Source organism: Homo sapiens, chromosome 2 (genome assembly GCF_000001405.40).
Source record: "Homo sapiens chromosome 2, GRCh38.p14 Primary Assembly".
Lineage (NCBI taxonomy): Eukaryota > Metazoa > Chordata > Mammalia > Primates > Hominidae > Homo > Homo sapiens.
The window spans coordinates 25,820,971-25,843,150 of NC_000002.12; the positions used below are offsets into that span (position 1 = coordinate 25,820,971).

Here is a 22,180-nt window from a genome sequence, read left to right on the forward strand (position 1 = left end):
AGCCTGACCAACATGGAGAAATCCCATGGAGAAACCCCGTCTCTACTAAAAACACAAAATTAGCCGGGCATGGAGGCACATGCCCATAATCCCAGCTACTCAGGAGGCTGAGGCAGGAGAACAGCTTGAACCCGGGAGATGGAGGTTGCAGTGAGCCAAGATCGCGCCACTGCACTCCAGTCTGGGCAACAAGAGCAAGACTCCGTCTCAAAAAGAAAAAATCAAAAAAATAAATAAATAGCCAGGTGTGGTGGTGTGTTCCCATAGTCCCAACTACTCCAGAAGCTGAGATGAGAGGATCCCTTGTGCCCAGGAGTTCAAGGCTGCAGTGAGCTATGACTGTACCACTGCACTCCAGCCTGGGTGACAGAGCAAGACCCTGTCAGGAAAGAAAGAAAAAGGGGAAAGGGAAAGGAAAGGAGGGAAAAAAAAAAAGGAAAATGAGGTGGAATTTGGAGTTTATGGCATGTAAACTACACCTCAATAAAGTTGTTTTTAAAAAAATATGCGGGGCTGGGCGTGGTGGCTCACGCCTATAATCCCAGCACTTTGGGAGGCCACAGCGAGCAGATCACTCGAGGTCAGGAGTTGGAAACCAGCCTGACCAACATGGTGAACCACCGTTGAAACATGAGCCACTGCCTGGCCTGTTCCCATATTTTCTATGAACACGTATATATTCTCCCAGGGTCCCAGGGTCAAATAAAACAAAATGTATCCAGAAAACAAAGCACTTGATCACTTGACTAACCAAAGGAAAAGAAAACCATTCCAAAACAAACACCATAAATATCCACTTATCAAATAAGAAGCAGCAAGAAAATGAAAACACTGGGGCAACTTATGTCTCTCTGCTTTATTTAGAGTGTTCATCTTTCTGCTGTTTCTGGACCTGCACTATGATGGACGGACACTAATGAATGGATTCAATATGGCACAAACTGATCTACCATGTAAAGAGTACAATAATGCCACTGACACTCCTAGAACAACTCCTGCTTATGATGCAATGAGTTGCAAGTAATTCAGGTTATCTGGCGAACTAAAGATTTAATGGACTGAATCTCACTGGCAAGAAGCCTATCAACATTAATACTAAAAATTGAGTTGGCGAGAAGAATTCATCTTCCACCTTCACACAGAAATTTTGAAAGCCCAAAAATGATAATAAAAGGTAAAAGAAACTTGTAGATAATAAAAGGTAAAAGTAACTCTTTACTCTGCAAGGTTTTCTCTACATAAAAATTTAACAGTAAGTCCTCGGGCCCCTTTTCCTACACTTTTCTCTTCTCCCCGACCGGAGGGGCCGCTCTTTCTGCGCGGTGCATTCTGGGGACCGAGGTGGAGCCCGCCGCTGCCGCCATCGCCTGAGGGAAGCGAGAAGAGGCCGCGACCGGGAGAAAACGCAGAGTCGTCACCGGAGAGAAGTCGACTCCCTAGCAGCAGTCGACGCCAGAGGGCCGCCCACCTGTTCGCCCGTCCCCCTGCCCTGTTCACAATGCAGCCTGCTTCTGCAAAGTGGTACTATCGAAGGGACTATGTCTTCACTGAATTCTGTGAACACAGTAAGGATGTTCATGTAAATTTTGAAAAATCCAAACTTAACATTCAGTTGTCTCAGAGGAAGTGATAATTTTAAGTATTTAAATGAAGTTGATCTTTTTCACAGTATTGATCCTAATGATTCCAAGCATAAAAAAAACGGACAGATCAATTGTATGTTGTTTACGAAAAGGAGAATCTGGCCAGTCATAGCCAAGGTTAACAAAAGGAAGGGCAAAACTCAATTGGCTTAGTGTGGACTTCAGTAATTGGAAACACTGGGAAGATGGTTCAGATGAAGACAGGTCTAATTTTGATCGTTTCTCTGAGATGATGAACAACATGGGTGGTGAAGAGGATGCAGATTGACCAGAAGTAGATGGAGCAGGTGATGATTCACAAGACAGCGATGATGAAAAAATGCCAGATCGGGAGTAAGGAATACTGTCATCACCTGGATTTTGGGAAAGAAAAATAACTTCTCTGCAAGATTTCACAATTGAGAGAATTCCTAAGTTGACAGCTCTAAAGGCAGATGCTGTATTTGCCTACTTTGACCCATTTTTCAGCCTGCTTGTTTTTTTAAAAGGCTTCACTAAGGGTTGATATGTACCATTGTATGGGGCAATTTTAAGTCAGCTAAGGCAATAACCTTATGCATGAACATTTCCTAGATTTTCATGAAGCTGTTGAGTGAGGTCCTAGGCAATTGATGCAGCAGTTGTGATAAATAAAAACATCTCACCACCTAAGTCTCCTTTTCTTCATAACATAGATACTGACATGATAGGAAGCTCTCAGCTTACGGAAAGAGAACTAAATTTTAGATTATAGAACATGGATTCAAAAATGGCTGGAACAAATTGGCTGACACCTTACTGGTAACCTGCTATTCCTCTGGTGTTATCCTTCAGGATTGTTCCAAGTTTATTTTTCAAAATATTTACTTCACATTATTCTATATAAGTGATTACTTGTCAGTATTCACATGTATCTTAGCTAAAACTAGAGAATGCCCTAATTTAGATGGTTTTTGAAGCCTGTATATTTGGTATTGTTTGACCCTTAGGTGTTTTTACATCTCTTAGCACGGAAGATGAAGAAAGCTGTACATTGTTGTTTGTTTAAGAGTCTGTACATTTAGACCAGATTTGTATCTGCACTGTCAGTATGGCAAATGAGTGAAAAACGTTTAATACAGTATTGGATTTCTTTCTTTTTTTTTTTTTCAGCTTATACCAGGGCTTAAAACCTCAATTTATGTTCATGACAGTGGGGATTTTTCTTGATGTCCACATTCTTTCTAATAAACTGTTGGAAGACTTCTTGGCTGTCCTTTTAAGTGTCTGGCTTACTGTAATTTTTATGTATTTACCACTTACTGGAATGGAGTTTTTATTTTTAATTGAGGAAAAATTTGGGATTATTTCTCTGTTTGAAAAAAGAGGCTTGCTGTAATGTCATAGGAAACCTTTTTAAAGTGGATCTGTAATAGAATATTGTAGATGCACTTTGCAGCAATTGGAAAAGAAAGTGTTGTGATTTGATTGAAATAAAACTAAATGTGTTGTCCTCCTCTAAAATATATATAGCAATAATTAGTAGTTATGCTGAAATTAATAATTTGAAACTATGTTTATGTACTGAAAGGATACATTTATAATGCTGTTTTGAACTAAAGGTTTCAATATAAAAGAAAAAAATACAAATATAAAATCAAATAATAATACTAAAACTCCATAAACTCAGGAAAAAAAATATGGAAAAGAAGCTGTCTTGATTTCTCATTCATTTAATATTTACAAAGGACCTATCATATAGCAACACGGTAGTATGTGCAGGTGGTATAAAAGATGAAGTGGAAGTTTCCATAAGAAAGAAGTACTCATTCTTACATTTTAATGTAAAAATAACTGAACTGGAGCTGAGCTGAGCCAAATGACAGTCTCTTTACTAGTGTGCACGTACACACACACACACACACACAATTTGCCTCCAGAAAAATTCAGCAAATAGATAGAAGTTTAAAATGTACACTATCTAAAAACTGTTAGCCATATTTGCAATTTTGCTATCAATTCAAGAATCGAACAAAATCAGAAACTCAGGTTTAGAGCTTGTTTTCTAATTTGTCAGTCTCCAACCCCGTGGTTTACAAATAACAGTATATTCAACTGTAAATGCAGTAGCACTTGTAGCAAAATTATGATTCTTAATGTTTCCTAATTATGTATTTTTTTAAAAAGAGATCTCTTCCCAAAATTAACTGGTAACTTTTCCGGTAACTAATGATGTCTAATTTCCCCACTGAGCATCATGACATTTTCACTATTCTTTCTTTCATTCTTAGTTTCTTTCTGGGGCTCAAAGACACATGTAAATGAAGTCCAGAATAAAGGTCATTAAGTATACATGGCCCATCAACTTTCAAAGTTAAAAGTCTCAGCTTTAGCTTGCTTTGTCTTGTCTATAATCCTTCTCATTCTAAAGGCTCTTGCCAAAACTCTAAAACTTACTTGTTTTACCAATTCTGAATCATTGCATTGTGAGCAGAAGTTAATAAAAATCACATTCTTATCCTTCACTTTCTTAACCACCCATCACTGTCTAGATTTTAAATTTAACAAGGTAAAATGAACATTAACCTTCCTGAAAAAGTTAAAGGCATACCTCTGCTCATTCTCTTTACCTTAGGCAAATGTTCTCTATTTCCTACTAATATAACAAGATGGCTGTTTCTCCTACATTAGATTAAATTGTGCCCCATTCAAATAAATGCAAAATCCTAGAACTTTTTTATTGTGGTAAAATATACATAAAATTTACCATCTTACCTAAGTGTACAGGTTCAGTAGTGTTAAGTACAGTCACCCTGTTGAGCAACCTTTTCATCTTACAAAACGGAAACTCTACACCCACTAAACAGCAACCATCTTCCCCTGCCCACCAGCTCCTGGCAACCACCATTCTCTTTGTCTCTATGAATCTGACTACTCTAGGTATCTCATATAAGTGGAATCGTACAGTATTTTTTATTTTTTGTCTGGCTTATTTCACTTAGCACAATGTCTTCAAGATTCATCCATGCTGCAGCAGGTGTCATTTTCCTTTCTTTTTAAAGCTGAATATTCCATTGAATATATATGCTACATTTTGTTCAGCCATCCATCCACCCATCAATGGATATTTGGGTTGTTTCTTCCCTTTGGCTACTGTGAATCACGCTGCTATGAACACTAGTGTTAAAACTATCTGTTAAGTCTCTGCTTTCGATTCTTTTGCGTATACAGGCAAAAGAGGAATTGCTGGGTAAAATAAAATCCTACAACTTTTGATCATTCTTTACTTAATTCTCAGTTTACACAACTCTCTCTCTGTTTTCAACACCTACTAACAAAAATCAGATAAGATATCGGTTGACAAGGGAGCTCCATAGGTGACCTAGACCATTTACCTACAGGTACTTGTACCCCGTCTAAGGTATCTAAACAGGTAATCACCCAATGTCTTATACAAGCATACAACGTGGTGGGCGGGCACTATGTCCTCAAGCATTTCCAATTATTCACAAATTCCTTCTTAAGCTAAGCTAAATACTCTTCCTATAAGTCTATTTATAAGTCTACCTTTATGATGGAAATCAGTAGTATAATGCTGGGAAAATCTGGGGGGCTCTTTGTTTTCCTCTGCAATGTTTGAATTTTGAAACTGATTTTGCAACAAATTATCTTTGAAAGTGGGCTGGAAAAGTTTGACATTATTTCTTTATCATTCCAATGACAGTTGTTTAAGTATTTTAAGACTTCATGAAATCCTGAAGTCTACTCCTTTCCAGATTATTTTTGGTCTCCTCACTGGCATTCCATGCTGCACCCAATCCAAAGAATCTTTAATACATTAAGCTTGTACCGTCCATCCTTAAAATTCATCAGTGTCTGCCAATATTTGTTATCCCCATTTCAAACCTTTGATAAACAGGTTTAAGGGACATCACTAATCCAACTTATTTGATCCTAGAGATATTCTCCCTTGCAATAACAAGTTACTGCCTAATTCCTACTTTAATCCCCAATCTCTTGTCCATTTTTTCCGTACTCCTTCCTATAAAATACAGTTGTCAAAACTTGGCCTTAAGGCCACAATGATTAATCATTTTCCCTATTCCTGGCTGAACTATACACAATCTATATTTATCCTTCAAAGCTCAATCCCTTGAACTTCAATAGGATTAAATAATAGACTTTCAAGGTAAAAAAAAAAAAAAAAAAAAAAAAAGTCATCTAGACCAGATGCTTAAATGCCCTCACTTCAAGTCGATTTTATTTTATTTATTTGTTCATTTATTTAGAGACAGGGTCTTGCTCTGTAACCCAGGCTGGCTCAATCATACTGCAGCCTTGAATTCCTAAGCTCAAATGCTCCTTCCTCCTCAGCCTCTTGAGTAGCTGAACCACATGTCTGCATCACCACGAACAGCTAATAATTTTTTTTTTTTTTTTTTTTTGGGTAGAGATAGGGTCTCCCTATGTTGCCCAAGCTAGTCTCAAACTCCTGGGCTCAAGCGATCCTCCCGCTTCACCACCCAAAGTGATTACAGGCATAAGCCACCACACCTGGCCTAAAGTCAATTTTAAATATAAAGATATAATAAATTTATAGTCATTGTATCTACAATCTTTCATTCACATGATATCCACTTAGACATATATCTGTAAACACACACCCACAATCATTATTCACATATGAACTCTCGAAATTTAATACTACATAACTTTAAGACCAAAAATAGATTTTATGGCATACTTACATGCCTTTACAAACAGAAAACACAGAACAAAACTGACCTCAACAGCACACTTACATTGGAAATTTCTAAATTACGTTTGGTAATTTAGAAATTACTGAATTAATAAATAGTCTTGGTTGATTTTAGATTTAAATTTAAATTTTTGTATTCCTACACATCTTCAGTAAAACATTTTTCCTTCCCTTGATCACATTACCTGCAATTCCACCATGATTGATTCATTCGGATTAACAACTAATCTGCTTTTTAAAAAGAAATAATATAAATGTAGCTTTTAACTTTGATTTAAAAAGTAAACATTTGATTCATCCACACTTCAATCAATTTGTTTCTTCATACTCTTTTCCTCCCCAAAATACACCATCAAACAAATGGGAATAAAAGCACTAAAGACATAAGGGAAAGGGTGTGTAGGAAAACTTTTAAACAAGCAGCTTGGGGTAAGTAGATCTAGTTGTGGCCCCAAAATGAGAGGTTCTAGGTCAACAGAGCAGCAGATGGGCACAGAACAAATGAGAGTGATCTAGGAATCGCCTAGAGAGGGAGGTCATAGCAATAAAAGATTCCTTGGAAATTTTTTGTTGTTGTTTGCTTTACCTTACCGTTAACACCTAACTATAAACCTTCACTCTATCATCCCATTATTGTCTTCCACTAACATCTTCTAAAAAGCATGGCTTTGTCCACTAGCATTAACAAGTGGGCAAAACAGTTTCAAATGAAAAAAAAAAAGGAGTCCAGTAATTCTATGTTCTATTTTTAAGTAAACAAATGAAATAACAAGGTTCAATATTATTTAGATTAGATAATTACAAACTCTTGGTATAGAAGGGCCTTAGAGAACAATCTAACTTTTCACCTAAAGAGAAATAAGAAACAGCTCATTAAGATCCTTGTCCAGGCCAGCTGGGTGCGGTGGCTCATGCCTGAAATCCCAGCACTTTGGGAGGCCGAGGCAGGTGGATCACGTGAGTCAGGAGTTCGAGACCAGCCTGACCAACATGGAGAAACCCCGTCTCCACTAAAAATACAAAAAATTAGCCAGGCATGGTGGCGCATGCCTGTAATCCCAGTTACTCGGGAGGCTGAGGCAAGAGACTCACTTGAACCTGGGAGATGGAGGTTGCAGTGAGCCAAGATCACACCATTGCACTCCCTCCCTGGGCAACAAAGAGCAAAACTCCATTTCAAAAAAAAAAAATAAAAAGAAAAGATCCTTGTCCAGGCCGGGCACAGTAGCTCACGCCTGTAATCCCAGCACCTTGGGAGACCAAGGTGGGCAGATCACGAGGTCAGGAGTTTGAGACCAGCTTGGCTAACATAGTGAAACCCCATCTCTACTAAAAATACAAAAAATTAGCCGGGAGTGGTGGCAGGCACCTGTAATCCCAGCTACTGGGGAGGCTGAGGGAGGAGAACTGCTTGAACCCTGGAGGTAGAAGTTGCAGTGAGCTGAGATCGCACCATTGCACTCCAGCCCAGGCAACAGTGTGAGACTGTGTCTCAAAAAAAAAAAAAAAAAAAAAAAACAACAACCTTGTCCAATCTCCTGAGTGCAGCAGAAACAGCACTTATATTTTAGACTCACAGATGTGGGTTCAAGTTCTATCACTAATTAGATATGTAATTTTTCACTGATTTTATGTGTTTATCTATGAGATAATGATCTCACAAGGCTTATTAAAGATTAAACAGACCATGTGAATGGACTCCCATCTTAGTCAAGGCCATTTCACTACTGGTTTATTACAGCATCAGGCTTTTCAATCTTATGAGGAATAGGAAATAAAAAGTAGGCCAGATGTGGCAGTGTACACCTGTAATACCACCTACTACAGAAGCTATGGTGGGAGAATCACCTGAGCCCAGAAGGTCGAGGCTGCAGTGAGCTATGATCACACCACTGCACTCCTGCCTGAGACAAACAGAGAGACAGAGACAGAAACACAGAAAGGGAGACACATACACATACACACACACACACACACACACACGAGGGTTTATCATCTGAGGTAAAAGGAGTATTAGTGAGGAAAACAAAATACTTATGAATGAATATAAACTATGGGCATGGTTCTGAAAGAACTCAGCTGGAGAGAGAGAATAAAAATCAACAGATTCAATTAAGTAAACCAAAAGACAGAAATTTCGCAATTTTATACCTTTGTCCTACTTGGTATTCTTGTTGATTTAGCAAACAGAGCTTGGATATCTAAACAGCTAACACTACTTATTACAATTATTTTCTACTTTGAACCAGAGTTACCAGTCCTGATGTAGCCATTTATATTGAGATTCAGAGTTTTGAAGTAGTTGGTTGACCCATTAATTTTACCAATTCCTGGCATTTCCCAACTAAGAGAAGTAACTTAGTTATGGTAGATCTTAGGAGATTATTAAATGACTTTCGTTGCAAGTTTATGTTCCCTCAAGTCTCAAAAATAAAGACTAGACTAGGGGAGGCCAAATGGCACAAGCAAGTGGGAGAAGATCACAAAAATAGTCCAGCCCAGGAAGCCTCTTTGTCCTTGTGGGCCTGAGACTACAACACCTCCCGCTCTCACAAGATGCTGAGCAGCCAAGTAGCTCAAGCAAAGGGGATCCTGCCAGGAAGCCTGTCTGTCCCCACAGGCTGAAGACTCCCTTTTGTCCACATCTACAGGCATCAGGCAACCCAGCCTGTGAAAATTCCCACCGCCTCAAACAGAAGCAACAGAGATCAATAAGAAGCAGCAGAGGTCAATGGGAGCCTCTGTGGCACCAGATAAAACAAGCAGACCCAAATACCACTGCAAAGGATCTGAAAATTAAACTGTTATTGGAACCACAATCCACTAAAACAGTCCAGGACCTGCATGGTAAACCTAAGTAAGCACAGTGAATGCCAGCTTAAATAAGACTGGACATCCCCTAACATGATAGCCAAAATATCCAGGGTTCAATGGAAAATCGCTATCTGAATCAAAGAAGACAATTAGAGGACACCAACACTGAGACAGATGTGAAAATTGTAAGAAAAATTTCAGAGTAGGCCGAATGCAGCGGCTCACGCCTGTAATCCCAGCACTTTGGGAGGCCGAGACAGGTATATCACCTGAGGTCAGGAGTTTGAGGCCAGCCTGACCAGTATGGTGAAACCCCGTCTCTAGTACAAAAAGTAGCTGGGCATGGTGGCGCATGCCTGTAGTCCCAGCTACTTGGGAGGCTGAGGCAGGATAATTGCTTGAACCCAGGAAGTGGAGGATGCAGTGAGCCGAGATCGCATCACTGCTCTCCAGCCTGGGCGACGGAGCAAGACTCTGCCTCAAAAAAAAAAAAAAAAATTAATAAATAAATAAAAATTGGAATAGCTCTCATAAAAATGCTTCAAGAACTACTTAAAATTCTTTTGAAACAAACATATAGAAAATATCAGCAAAGACAGAACTTTTAAAAAGAAATCAAATAGAAATATAAAAATAAAAAATACATTAAGAAATTTAAAAACTCACCAGATGAAATCAGTAAGAGAGTGGAGACAACAGAGGACAGAATCAGTGAGCTTAAGAACAGGTCAATACAATTTACTCAATGTGAAGAGACGGAAAAAATAACACCAAAAAAATTAACAGAATCTCAAGGCATTGTGAGATAACAACAGAAGATTCAACATTCATATCATCAGCATTCCAGAAAGAAAAGAGAAAGAGAGTAGGGGAGAAAGAGTATTCAAAGAATTGGCCAGGCACGGTAGCTCACATTTGTAATCCCAGCACTCTGGAAGGCCAAGGTGGGTGAATCACTTGAGGTCAGGAGTTCGAGACCAGCCTGGCCAATGCAGTGAAACCCTGTCTCTACTAAATTAGCTGGCTTGGTGGCACACACCTGTAATCCCAGCTACTCGGGAGGCAGGAGAATTGCTGGATCCTGGGAGGCAGAGGTTGCAGTGAGCAGAGATCACATCACTGCACTCCAGCCTAGGTGACACAGTGAGACTCCGTCTCAAAAAAAAAAAAAAAAAGAGTATTCAAAGAATTAACAGCTGAAAACTTCTCTTATTTGGTTAAAGAAATAAACACAGGCCAGGCACAATGGCACAGGCCTGTAATCCCAGCACTTTGGGAGGGCAAGGCAGGCAAACTGTTTGAGCTCAGGTATTGCGCTGGGCAACATGATGAAACCCTGCCTCTACAAAAAATGCAAAAATTAGATAGGCATGGTGGTGCACACCTGTGGTCCCAGCTACTCAGGAGGCTAAGGTGGGAGGATTGCTTGAGCCCAGGAGGCTGATGCTGCAGTGAGCTGAGATCGCACCACTGCACTCCAGCCTGGGCAACAAAATGAGACCCTGTCTCAAAAAACAAAAAACCTGAAGATGTAACAGGATTTAAAAAGAAAAAGAAAAAGTAATAAAGAAAAATGAAGAAATAAACCTACAGATTCAAGAAACTCAGTGAATCTAAATAGGATAAATCTAAATAAGTCCACCAAGATACATCATAATTAAACTTCTGAAAACTAAATCCAAAGAAAAAGTCCTGAAAGCAGAGAGAAACAACACATTACTACAGGGAAACACCAATTCAAATGACAATAGATTTCTCGCCTAAAACCACATAGGCCAGAAGGAAGTGGCATGACATTTCACTAGTGCTGAATGAAAAGAACTGTCAATTGTGAATTCTATATCTGATGAAACAGCTTCAGACTAAGTAAAACTAAAAGTAGTTTACTAAGAGAAGTAGAACTATTCTTAAAGAATGACTAAAGGAAGTCATTCAATAGAATGGAAATGATAAAAGAAGCAATCCTGTAGCACCAGGAAGAAAAAACAGAAAGAACAGGAATAGGTATATACCACAGACTATGCTTCTCATAAATTTTATAAATCACATTTCATGACTGGAACACAAATGTTAATACCATCTCATACTCAAGAATCTAAATGGAAGTACGGTTTCCACACTTCACTTAGAGTGGTAAAATGATTATCAGCAGACTGTGATAAATCACGTGTATATATTGTAATACCCAGTTGAAACAGTTAAGAAAAGCATGTAAAGACATACAAAGAAATACAATACTATAAATAAATCAAGACAGAATCCTAAAATATGATCCATGAGGAAGTCAAGAAAAGAGAAACAGAGGAATGAGAAATAGAGGAAACAGAAAACAAAAAAACAAAAAGGCAAACTCACCTATCAACAATTACTTTAAATATAAATGGTGTAAACACACAAATTAAAAGGCAAGGATTGGCAGCATGGGCCAAAAAAAAAAAAATTCTAAACTATGCAGTTTACAAGAAATTCATTTACAGTTTCAAGGTGTCTTTAAAATTAAACATGCACTTACCACACAACCCAGCAACAGCACTTTCTGTACATTTATCCCAGAGAATGGAAAATGTATGCCCATACAAAAACATTTACACAAATGTTCATAGAAGTTTTATTTTTAATAGCCAAAGCCTGGAAACAATTCAGATATCATGCAACGGATAAACAGTTAGAAACGGTCGCACGTCCATGTCAAAGAATACTACTCGGCAATAAAAAAGAATGAACTATGAACACAATAACTTGGAGGACTCTCCAGAGACATACAATGAATGGGGGCTGCGGGGGGAGCCAATCCCAGATGGTTACATACTCTATGATTCCATTAAACACTTGAAATGACAAAATTATAGAAATGTAGGACGGACTAGTATAAGGAAGGGGGGCAAGGGGTACTAGGGAAGTACATGTGGTTTTAAAAGGGGAACACAAGGGATATTTGTTGAAAGTATTCTGTATCTTGTGTGGTGGTAGGTACATGAATCTATACACGTGATAAAACCACATAGCACCCTATACACACATACACACACCCCGGTACCAGTAAAACCAGGTGGATTATATCAGAAACAATATTCTCGCTGTGACACTGCACTATGGTTTTGTACAATGTTACCATTAGGAGAATCTGCATAAAAGGTTACTTCCTACAACTGCTTATGGCTTACATTTTTCTGTTGTACTTTAATTTTCTATAGTGAGCAATGGACAGCTGTTGTTTATTCCTGGCCAATATCCATTCCCTCTTCTTCTGCAAAGAATGCTCAATTTTGGCTGGGCATGGTGGCTCATGCCTGTAATCCCAGCACTTTGGAAGGCTGAGGTGGGCAGATCACTTGAGGCCAGGAGTTTGAGATCGGCCTGACCAACACAGTGAAACCCCATCTCTATTAAAAATACAAAAAATTAGCTGGGCGTGGTAGCGTGCGCCTGTAATCTCAGTTACTCAGGTGGCTGAGGCAGGAAAATTGTTTGAACTCAGGAGGCAGAGGTTGCAGTGAGCTGAGATTGCACCACTGCACTCCAGCCTGGGCAACAGAGCAAGACCCTGTCTCAAAAAAAAAAAAGCTTAATTTTGCTTTGGGGAACTATGCCCTCCCCTACTGGAAATAGTCTTGGTAAGACTGTCCATCAAGATATCTCACCATCCCTGGGCACTGGGCCAACCAAGTTCACTCTTCCCTTAAAGTTTAACCTTGAGCAGAGTAGACAATGACTAATTTAGCCCAGCTGCAGTGTCTTGATGAGACTATGCATTAGTTCTATCTACCTGATCTCTGAAGCTGCCTTCCTTCTCCTAATTTCAGAGCCCGTTTCTTGCCTTTGAGTCTGAGTCTTGCCTCTGCTCCCATATTCTTTAAATAAATCTTGTTTTGCTTAAGTTATTCACATTTGGTTCCTATCATTTGCACTTAAAGAACCCAATCAATGACCAGGCGCAGTGGCTCACGCTTGTAATCCCAGCACTTTGGGAGGCCAAGGCGGGCAGATCACTTGAGGTCAGGAAGTCAAGACCAGCCTGGCCAGCATGGTAAAACCCCGTCTCTACTAAAAATACAAAAAGTAGCCGGGGTTGGTGGCAGGCACCTGTAATCCCAGCTACAAGGGAGGCTGAAACAGAAGAATCACTTGAACCTGGGAGGCAGAGGTTGCAGTGAGCCGAGACCATGCCACTCCACTCCAGCTTGGGTGACAGAGTGAGACTCTGTCTCCAAAAAAATAAATAAATAAATAAGAACAAATCAAATACATGCTCCCTTCAAACAAACATAACACAAAACAAAATATACCTATTTTATTTTTTAATTATAATTTTAACTTTGTAAGACCTTAATTAAGCTTTCATCCACAAACTCTTGCTTACAATAAACAGGTTCTTACAAATGAACTTAATGGACTACAAATATAACTAGAGTTAAAAAGACTAACTACGCTCTAATTATAACCCAAGCATGCCATGTCCAAGTAACATGAAAATACATGGGCATGACTGTTGCCCTCAAGTCTCACAGGCAATACGACTGTTGCCCTCAGGTCTCACAGGCGTGTAACACGGGAACTGCTATAGTGGAGGTGAATCTAAAAGGCCATGCCCACACACAAAAAGTCAATTCAGTAAAGGATCCAGACTGATTTTTAACCCATTCTGCCCTGGTTTTAAGTATCATGCCCCTAAAGGATTTACCAATTTTTTTTTTTTTAGACGGAGTCTTGCTGTGTTGCCCAGGCTAGAGTGCAGTGGCATGATCTCGGCTCACTGCAACCTCCACCTTGTGGGTTCAAGCAATTCTCCTGTCTCAGCCTCCCGAGTAGCTGGGATTACGGGCGCCGGCCACCACACCCAGCTAATTTTTGGATTTTTTAGTAGAGATGCAGTTTCACCATATTGGTCAGGCTAGTCTCGAACTCCTGACCTCAAGTGATCCACCCACCTCGGCCTCTCAAAGTGCTGGGATTACCAGGTGTGAGCCACCATGCCCAGCCGATTTACCAATATTTTATCTAAATTAAGAGCACAAACATACATTTTCAATCTTACAGCCATAAAGCAAATGTTAATATACATGTTTCCAGTCTACTAAATACTTTCATTATTACTCTGCAGAATACTTGGCATCCCAACGCTTTTATAAGTCAAATGTTGATTTTAATAAACCTTAATGTAGATCGGATTTCTAAACTTATGATCAAACAATAATTACAAACTGCAAGAACCAAACAAAGCACACTTAACGAATAAACACTAACATAATAATATCGATATTACTTAGTTTCTGGACTAATTATTTAGTTTTATAAAGTAAAACTCATGCATCCAAAGGTAAGTTCAATTAAATTTATAAAAGTGTGCTTTATAATTGCATAATACTTCTTTAGAATAAAGTAATACTTCTTACCTTCTGGAGTTGGAATGCAGTGCAGGAAAATGAAAGAAGGAAAAAAAAAGCTTTTAATTTTTCTTACAAAGCAACAATAAAACCAAAAATTAAACTGTCCCTTCCCATCCCAGCAATATCCACAATTCCCCAAATTAGTAACCCCCTCATTAATTTCTTCATTAAAATTTATAAATTAGCCAAAAATATCATATCAAAATGTCTAAAGATAAACAAATTTAGCTAAACAGTCTAAACTACTTCAGAAAACAGTTGCAGTAATTTGATTATGTAACAGAGTAAAACTGTTAGGGCATTTAAATGTGGATACAATGAATACTTCCCATTCTTTAATATTCTTCCCATGCATTTCAATTTCAAGGAGCCATCATAACGCCATCAGCTGTGGACTTAAGGTTTATTAGCTTCCCTGTGATACATAATGGAGCTCTTATGGATCTGAATTACAATGGATAAGAATACTCTTTTCTGTCAATATCCAAGCATTTTGTTGTCATTTTTTTCATTACTAATCCTTCTTGACATCCCTACCAGGTTTGTGGGCTTGAAAGCAGATTGCAACTAACAGATAGGGAAGATGGCTGGGCACAGTGCCTCATGCCGAGGCCAAAGCAGGATTGCTTGAGCCCAAGAATTCAAGATGAGCCTGAGCAACATAGTGAGACCTCATCTCTACAAAAAATATTTTTAAAATGTTTAAAAAGAAAAAGAGGAGGAAGATGCAGGCTTAACCACAAAGGAATCCTCCAACCTTAGATATATTATCAATACAAATAATGTTCTTCATTCTAAAACTAAGCTCTTTCTAATGAAATCACTTCAAGGCAATTCAGCTTGGCAAATAATCAAATGATCTACTCTGCAGGGATAAGGATTTCTGCTGAAAAGTAGTAGAGAATATTGACTTTATTTCCCTTGCTATATACACTTTTGCATGTGGAGAGATATGGGAAAAAAAATAGGTGCTCTGATTGGTTTTTAGTATAAAGTAAGCTAAAACATATAACCTTAAATACTGTATGAAAGAGATTATTTTCTTCATAAACAAATTAGTACTAATCAGATGTCATTAGGACTCCCCCAGACAGAGGTAAAATCTCAGTCTCTAAAATGTTTATTGAGCATAATCTTTGCTGGGTGGTTCCCAGAGTTCTTTACAATCTAGGCAGTTGGCCACACTCATTCATTAGCTATATAACTTACTCACCTATACTAATCTTATAGTGTGAAAGATTCAAACTCACCACAATTACTAATTATATATCATGAACCCTTGGGATCACTCATGAATGGTCTAATTCATAAAATGCCAAATTTGTGGACAATAAATTCACGAACAAATAATCTTCCTAATTTATTTCCCCTCTTCTATTCATGAATGGAAAGACAAGAAAAACTAGTCAGAGAATAGGGTCTCAAGAACTGAATATTTTACTATTTTTCTCTTCTTTCCTAAAAACTCTATTTCTCTATTAGCTGATAGAAGAGTCAAGATATTACAGTTAATAAGACGAGCAAAGCAGGTTAAGGAAACTCCAAAGGGGGGTGGGGGGGGGGGGCGTGGGAAGCACTAAAGGCAATAGCTACTTCAGAAGGAAGGCATTAAGTCCGACACTTAATGCTATAAAAGCACATCTGTAAACACTAATGGCAGCCACAGCTGATGGAAGGGAAAAACCTATTGTATATCTAGCCTAAGCACAGAAGTAGTAATGAGTAGTTACAGTAAAGAATTAATAGGCATGGTTTCAAAGAATATTCAGGGCGTGTATTCTGTCAACAGTGTGTAGGCTTAATGTGTAGATTTAATTGTTCTATTTTTTGTAAGCCAGAATATCCAAATTGCATACAACTAGTCTCAAGTTCTTATCTGTTAGATATAAAGTGACATATTCATGTGATAAAATGACTGCAATTTATTTCAGAACAGCCCAGGGTGTAAATACTATTTATAGTTTATGATGGAGGATGTATCCTTTTGTTTTTACAATTTTCGAAAAGTAAAAATTTATATTTTAAAAAAGCGTCTTCAGGCCAGGTACTGTGGCTCACATCTGTAATCCCAGCAGTTTGGGAGGCCAAGGTGGGAGGATCCCTTAAGCCCAGGAGTTTGAGACCAGCCCGTGCAACACAGAGACCTTGTCTCTACAAAAAATTTAAAAATTAGCCAGGCATGGTGGTGTGTGCCTGTGGTTCCAGCTACTAGGGAGGCTGAGGTGGGAGAATCACTTGAGGCTGGGAGGTTGAGGCTGCAGTGAGCCGTGATTAAAAAACAAAATAAAACAAAACCAAGAGGCGGCCAGGTGCAGTGGCTCATGCCTGTAAACCCAGCACTTTGGGAGGCCGAAGCAGGCAGACCACTTGAGTCCAGGAGTTCAAGACCAGCCTGAGCAACATGGCAAAACCCTGTCTCTACAAAAAAAAAAAAAAAAAAACACAAAAAATTAGCCAAGCACGGTGGCGCACGCCTGTGGTCCCAGCTACTTAGGAAGTCAAGGCTGCGGTGAGCCATGATCGTGCCACTGCACTCCAGTCTGGGTGACAGTGAGACTATCTCAAAAAGAAAGAAAGAAAAAGAAAGAAGTTACATTCACTCATGTGTTCAGCTGTACCTGTATATTTTTATGTATTACATAAATATGTAGTAGCTAATATTTATTCCCCAAAAGGTGGGACAGATTCCCCAGCAGAGGGCTTTTCAGCTAAGCTCTTTTAGTACCTAGTAGGCAGTTTCCTGTGGCCACCTCAGGCTGCAGCACCAATGAACTTTGCCATCCACTGAACTAGAGCCCTGCTTTCTTTTTACCTTTGAATAGTTAATCCCTGGTTAATCTGTTAATAAGTTCCAGTTAATAACTTTCCTGTTCAAATTACTGTGTACTTTCTGGTCTTCTGATCAGACCATAAGAACTATAGAAGTGTATAGCTCAGAGACTTACACAGAACTCTTAACTTATCAATGCCCAAAATCCCAGAAACAGTTCCATTAAGCTGTGTGGGAGTAGCCATGTGAGCATATTTGGGAGGCTGGAGTTTGAATCACCTCTGACACTCCTGACAAATAGTTTGTAATGACAAGAAGAAATATGGGCACAAGTCGGGAGAAACTTAAACTGGGGCACTAGGTGCTCTTTGTTTCTCTGCAAACTGTAAAATCAGCATCATCAGACAAAAAGGAAAGCGCTTTTTTAAAAAGGCTATTTTATATACTGATGGCTAATGACAACCATTTTGCCATAACTGTTACTTTGATTCAAGGTAAAATAAAATTCTGAATCGTTTCCCTTAGTAACTGAAGTATACCGTCAAAATGTACACAAAAATGGACACATCTCTCTGAATCTTTGGTTTTATTTCCAGTGTCTCAGGAGGGAAACAAAATACCTAACCATTCCTTCAATATTTAGATTCATACAAATGCACAGTATAATCCAGAATCAACACATGAGCTGTAATAATGAGAATAGGGGTTCCTTAAACAAACCCAATAAACAAAATCTCTACCCAATGAATAATATAGATTTTTAAAAAGCAAACTGTCTACAGAAAAACAAATGAGTAAAAGCTTACAAAATTGTTTTAAAGGTTCTAACAGTACTTCAAATTTGGAACAAGCAATTCTGTGTTGAAGAGCTCAACCCTAGGAAACCACTGCCACATTATCATTGGTATTTATGTAACAAACAGAAATTAGGTTATATTTTAGCCACAGAAAATTGAACAAGGAGGTGAGACATCTCTCAACAAAATTCTTTTTACTATTTTTGATTTTATGAAATAACTGTTTATTGGTAAACAGTATGGGAATTAACTCTTCTCTACTTACAAATGACCAGATATCACAGCTACAGCATTTATCTATAGTATAACTTTTCATGTCTTCTTGTTTTAACTGTTACAAAAAGAACTAAGCTAATTTAAAGAACTCCACAATGCCTTTGCTATTGACTCTGACTACTAAGTGTAACAGAAACAGTTCTTAACCTCTCCTGGCCTAAGTCATGTCCTCCCATTTCACCTGAAACATCCAAACTTCTGTCTTTTTTCTTCCCTATTACTCCTATGGGAAATTCTATCTTTTTTTTTTTTTTTTTTTTTTTAAGAGGCAGGGTCTTGCTTTGTTGCCCAGGGCTGGAGTGCAGTGGCACGATCACGGCTCATTGCAGCCTTGACCTCCTGGGCTCAAGTGATCCTCCTGCCTCAGCCTCCCAGCATATTTGGGAGGCTGGAGTTTGAATCACCTCTGACACTTCCTGAGGTGATTATTATTAATATACGAGGTACTAATAATACCTCATATATTCATAGGACATATATTCATGGGACTATAGGCTTGCACTACCATGTTTTCTTTTTTTTTTTTTTCTTTTTTTTGTAAAGACAAGGTCTCGCTATCTTGTTCACGCTGGTCTCAAACCCCAGGCCTCAAGTAATCCTCTCGTCTCAGCTTCCCAAAGTGTTGCGGTTACAGGCATGAGCCACCATGCCCAGCTTAAACTATCTTTAAAATTAGTGCATTAATGCATAAAAACAACATAATGGAATACAAAAAGTCACAGATCCTCGTGAGGGGAAAAATTTAAGGACCTTTTTCTTATTTTCTAAAATGCTGCTATGCTTTATAGTTATAAACAGGCATTTAATTTAAATATTGTAATGCTTTTATAAAAAAATAAAAAAGGAATTCACGTTTCTAATTAATTCTCAGAGTTCCATACTTTGGATAAATGATTTCCAATCTTACCACCTAACTTCTTAAAGGGGCTAGTACCTGAATCTTTCGCAGCTAGGAGCCAACCACTTCTTTTTAAATATTTTATTGGTTGGTTGCGGTAAAACCCACATAACATAAAAGTTACCATTTTAACCGTTTTTAATCAGTGGCATTAAGTACATTCACAATGCTGTGCAACTGTCACCATCATCCATCTTTAGAACGTTTTCAACGTCTCTAACAGAAATTCTGTACTCATTTAATAGAAACTCACTATTCCCCACTACTCCAGTCTGTGGTAACCTCTATTCTACTTTCTCTCTATGAACTTACCTATTTTAGGTATCTCATGTAACTGGAGTCATATATTTGTCTTTTTGGGTCTGGCTTACTTCACTTAGCATAATGTTTTCAAGGTTCATCCATACTGTAGCATGTATCAGAATTTTATATCTTCTTAAGACTGAATAATATTCCATTGTATGCATATACCTTATTTTGTTTATTCATTAATCTGTTCATAAATATTTCAGTTGTTACCACTTTAATAAATTTTAAAATCAAACAAAAATGGTATTGAATCTAGGCAAAATTCTTCAAAATCTGGGAGCCAAAGGAAAAATATAAAGGGAGTAGAGCTCAAAGTCATGTATTAAGGTCCGAGGAATGAAAATAAAACAGTAAGTAGTCACACACCTTTAAGAAGCATAGTACGTGTTTCATTCTGTAATCTTTCTAAAAACTTTTAAGAGTATAAGACTACCAGCCAGGCATGGTGGCTCACGCCTGTTATCCCAGCACTTTGGGAGGCCAAGGCAGGAGGATCACCTGAGTCCAAGAGTTTGAGACCGGCCTGGATGGCGAAACCCTTGCCTCTACAAAAAATACGAAAATTAGCTGGGCATGGTGGCACATGCACCTCTCAACCCAGCTACTTAGGAGGCTGAGGTCATGGGACTGCTTGATCCCAAAAGGACAAGGCTGCATTAAGCTGAGATTGCACCACTGCACTCCAGCCTGGGTTACAGAGTGAGACCCTGCCTCAGAGAAAAAAGTGCCATTTGACACATCACGGCAGCGAGAGAATAATCTATAATTATATATGAATATGATCTTCCAACTAATAATACCTCATATATTCATTAACAAGTAGGTTTTAAATACTTGTTATGCATCATATGCTGAGGAGTGGGGAAAGATAATGTCACTGCCTCTGGAGCTACCTTAACGTAAGGTACAGAGAAATTGTATGTTTTTTTACCACCACAAACATATATAATTTCAAACCTTAGTGCTATAAAGAACACAGAACATGCCAGGCACGGTAGCTCATGCCTGTAATCCCTGTACTTTGGGAGGCCGAGGAGGGCAGATCATTTGAGGTCAGGAGTTCGAGACCAGCCTGGCCAACTTGGTGAAACCCTGTCTCTACTAAAAATACAAAAATTAGCTTTGGGAGACCGAGGAGGGTGGATCACGAGGTCAGGAGATCGAGACCATCCTGGCTAACACAGTGAAACCCCATCTCTACTACAAATACAAAAAATTAGCCAGGTGTGGTGGCAGGCACCTGTAGTCCCAGCTACTCGGGAGGCTGAGGCAGGAGAATGGCATGAACCCGGGAGGCAGAGCTTGCAGTGAGCTGAGATGGCGTCACTGCACTCCAGCCTGGAGGACAGAGCGAGACTCTGTCTCAAAAAAAAAAAAAAAATTAGCCAGGCATGGTGGCACGTGCCTATAGACCCAGCTACTCGGGAGGCTGAGGCAGGAAAATCACTTGAACCCGGGAGAAAGAGGTTGCAATGAGCTGAGATCGCGCCACTGCACTCCAGCCTGGGCGACAAGAGCAAAACTCTGTCTCAAAAAAAAAAGAAAAAAAAAAAAGAAAAGAACACAGAACACTACAACAAACTAAAATAAGAAGATATGATCAAGACCAGTAAGTCAACCAAAATTGTCTCTGAAAAAGAGGTATCCAAATGGAGACCTAAAAGACTTAACTGTCCAATAGGTGAGCGAAAGCACATTCCCTGCTAAGGGTGGTCAGCATGTACTGCTTTGTTGTGCTGTAACTGCATTACCACAATATAGTTTAACCAGGAAAAGCTACTTTCAATTGTCACTATGTAAACCAGAAGCTATCTGATGATTCACACTTTACTACCTTTTGAAAAAAAACTCTTCCATTTTTTCCTGCTGTTTTTGTTTGTTTTTAATAATCTTTATTTATTTACTATTCCTGCTTGCTCCCTGGAAATGATCATGGTAAGTTTAAAGTCCCAGAGCCTTACTATGTTACAGCTGGATGATACTGACATTAAGACCTCCTGGCCTCAAGTGATCTGCCTGCCTCGGCCTCCCAAAGTGCTGGGATTACAGGCATGAGCCACTGCGCCCAGCCCACAAAAGGTACTTTTAAAAGCTAATTCTTCAAGTGTGTGTATATATATATATAGATAGATAGATAGATAGATGTATATATCTATATATATGTATGTATGTGTGTGCGTGTGTGCACGTGTGTGTGTGTGTGTGTGTGTGTATATATATATATATATATGTTTTTTTTGTTTGTTTGTTTGTTTTTTGAGACAGAGTCTCGCTCTGTTGCCCAGGCTGGAGTGCACTGGTGCAATCTCAGCTCACTGCAACCTCCACCTCCCAGGTTCCAGCTATTCTCCTGCATCAGCCATCCAAGTAGCTGGGATTACACGCAAGCGTCACCACACCTGGCTAATTTTTTTTTTTTTAATAGAGACGGGGTTTTGGCTGGGCACGGTGGCTCACGCCTGTAATCCCAGCACTTTGGGAGGCCAAGGCGGGCGGATCACAAGGTCAGGAGATCAAGACCATCTTGGCTAACACGGTGAAACCACGTCTCTAATAAAAATACAAAAAA

At 38.9% G+C, this 22,180-nt stretch overlaps 1 protein-coding gene and 1 pseudogene across 2 annotated transcripts in view, besides 2 other annotated features; one reads left to right on the forward strand and one right to left on the reverse strand.

Annotated features, from left to right (window-relative positions):
* ASXL2 (ASXL transcriptional regulator 2) overlaps nt 1-22,180 on the reverse strand; it is a 144,735-nt gene that overhangs the window by 87,218 nt on the left and 35,337 nt on the right. The window contains exon 3 of one of the 2 annotated variants that reach the window (NM_018263.6): nt 14,568-14,570. In NM_018263.6, coding sequence (NP_060733.4) covers nt 14,568-14,570 — 3 coding nt within the window. Of the gene's footprint in view, nt 1-9,840; nt 9,932-14,567; nt 14,571-22,180 lie in introns of those variants that run through there. The other variant, NM_001369346.1, reaches the window with a different exon arrangement.
* PTGES3P2 (prostaglandin E synthase 3 pseudogene 2) lies at nt 1,299-2,179 on the forward strand (annotated as a pseudogene).
* Nucleotides 1,404-1,463: an enhancer, noted in NCBI's record as "active region_15465". NCBI's record gives its function as "activates an Ori minimal core promoter by ATAC-STARR-seq in GM12878 lymphoblastoid cells {active_cell/tissue: GM12878}" and the evidence as "EXISTENCE:reporter gene assay evidence [ECO:0000049][PMID:35858748]".
* Nucleotides 8,850-9,144: a silencer, noted in NCBI's record as "tiled region #10168; HepG2 Repressive DNase matched - State 5:Enh". NCBI's record gives its function as "represses a minimal TATA promoter and a strong SV40 promoter by Sharpr-MPRA in HepG2 cells {active_cell/tissue: HepG2}" and the evidence as "EXISTENCE:reporter gene assay evidence [ECO:0000049][PMID:27701403]".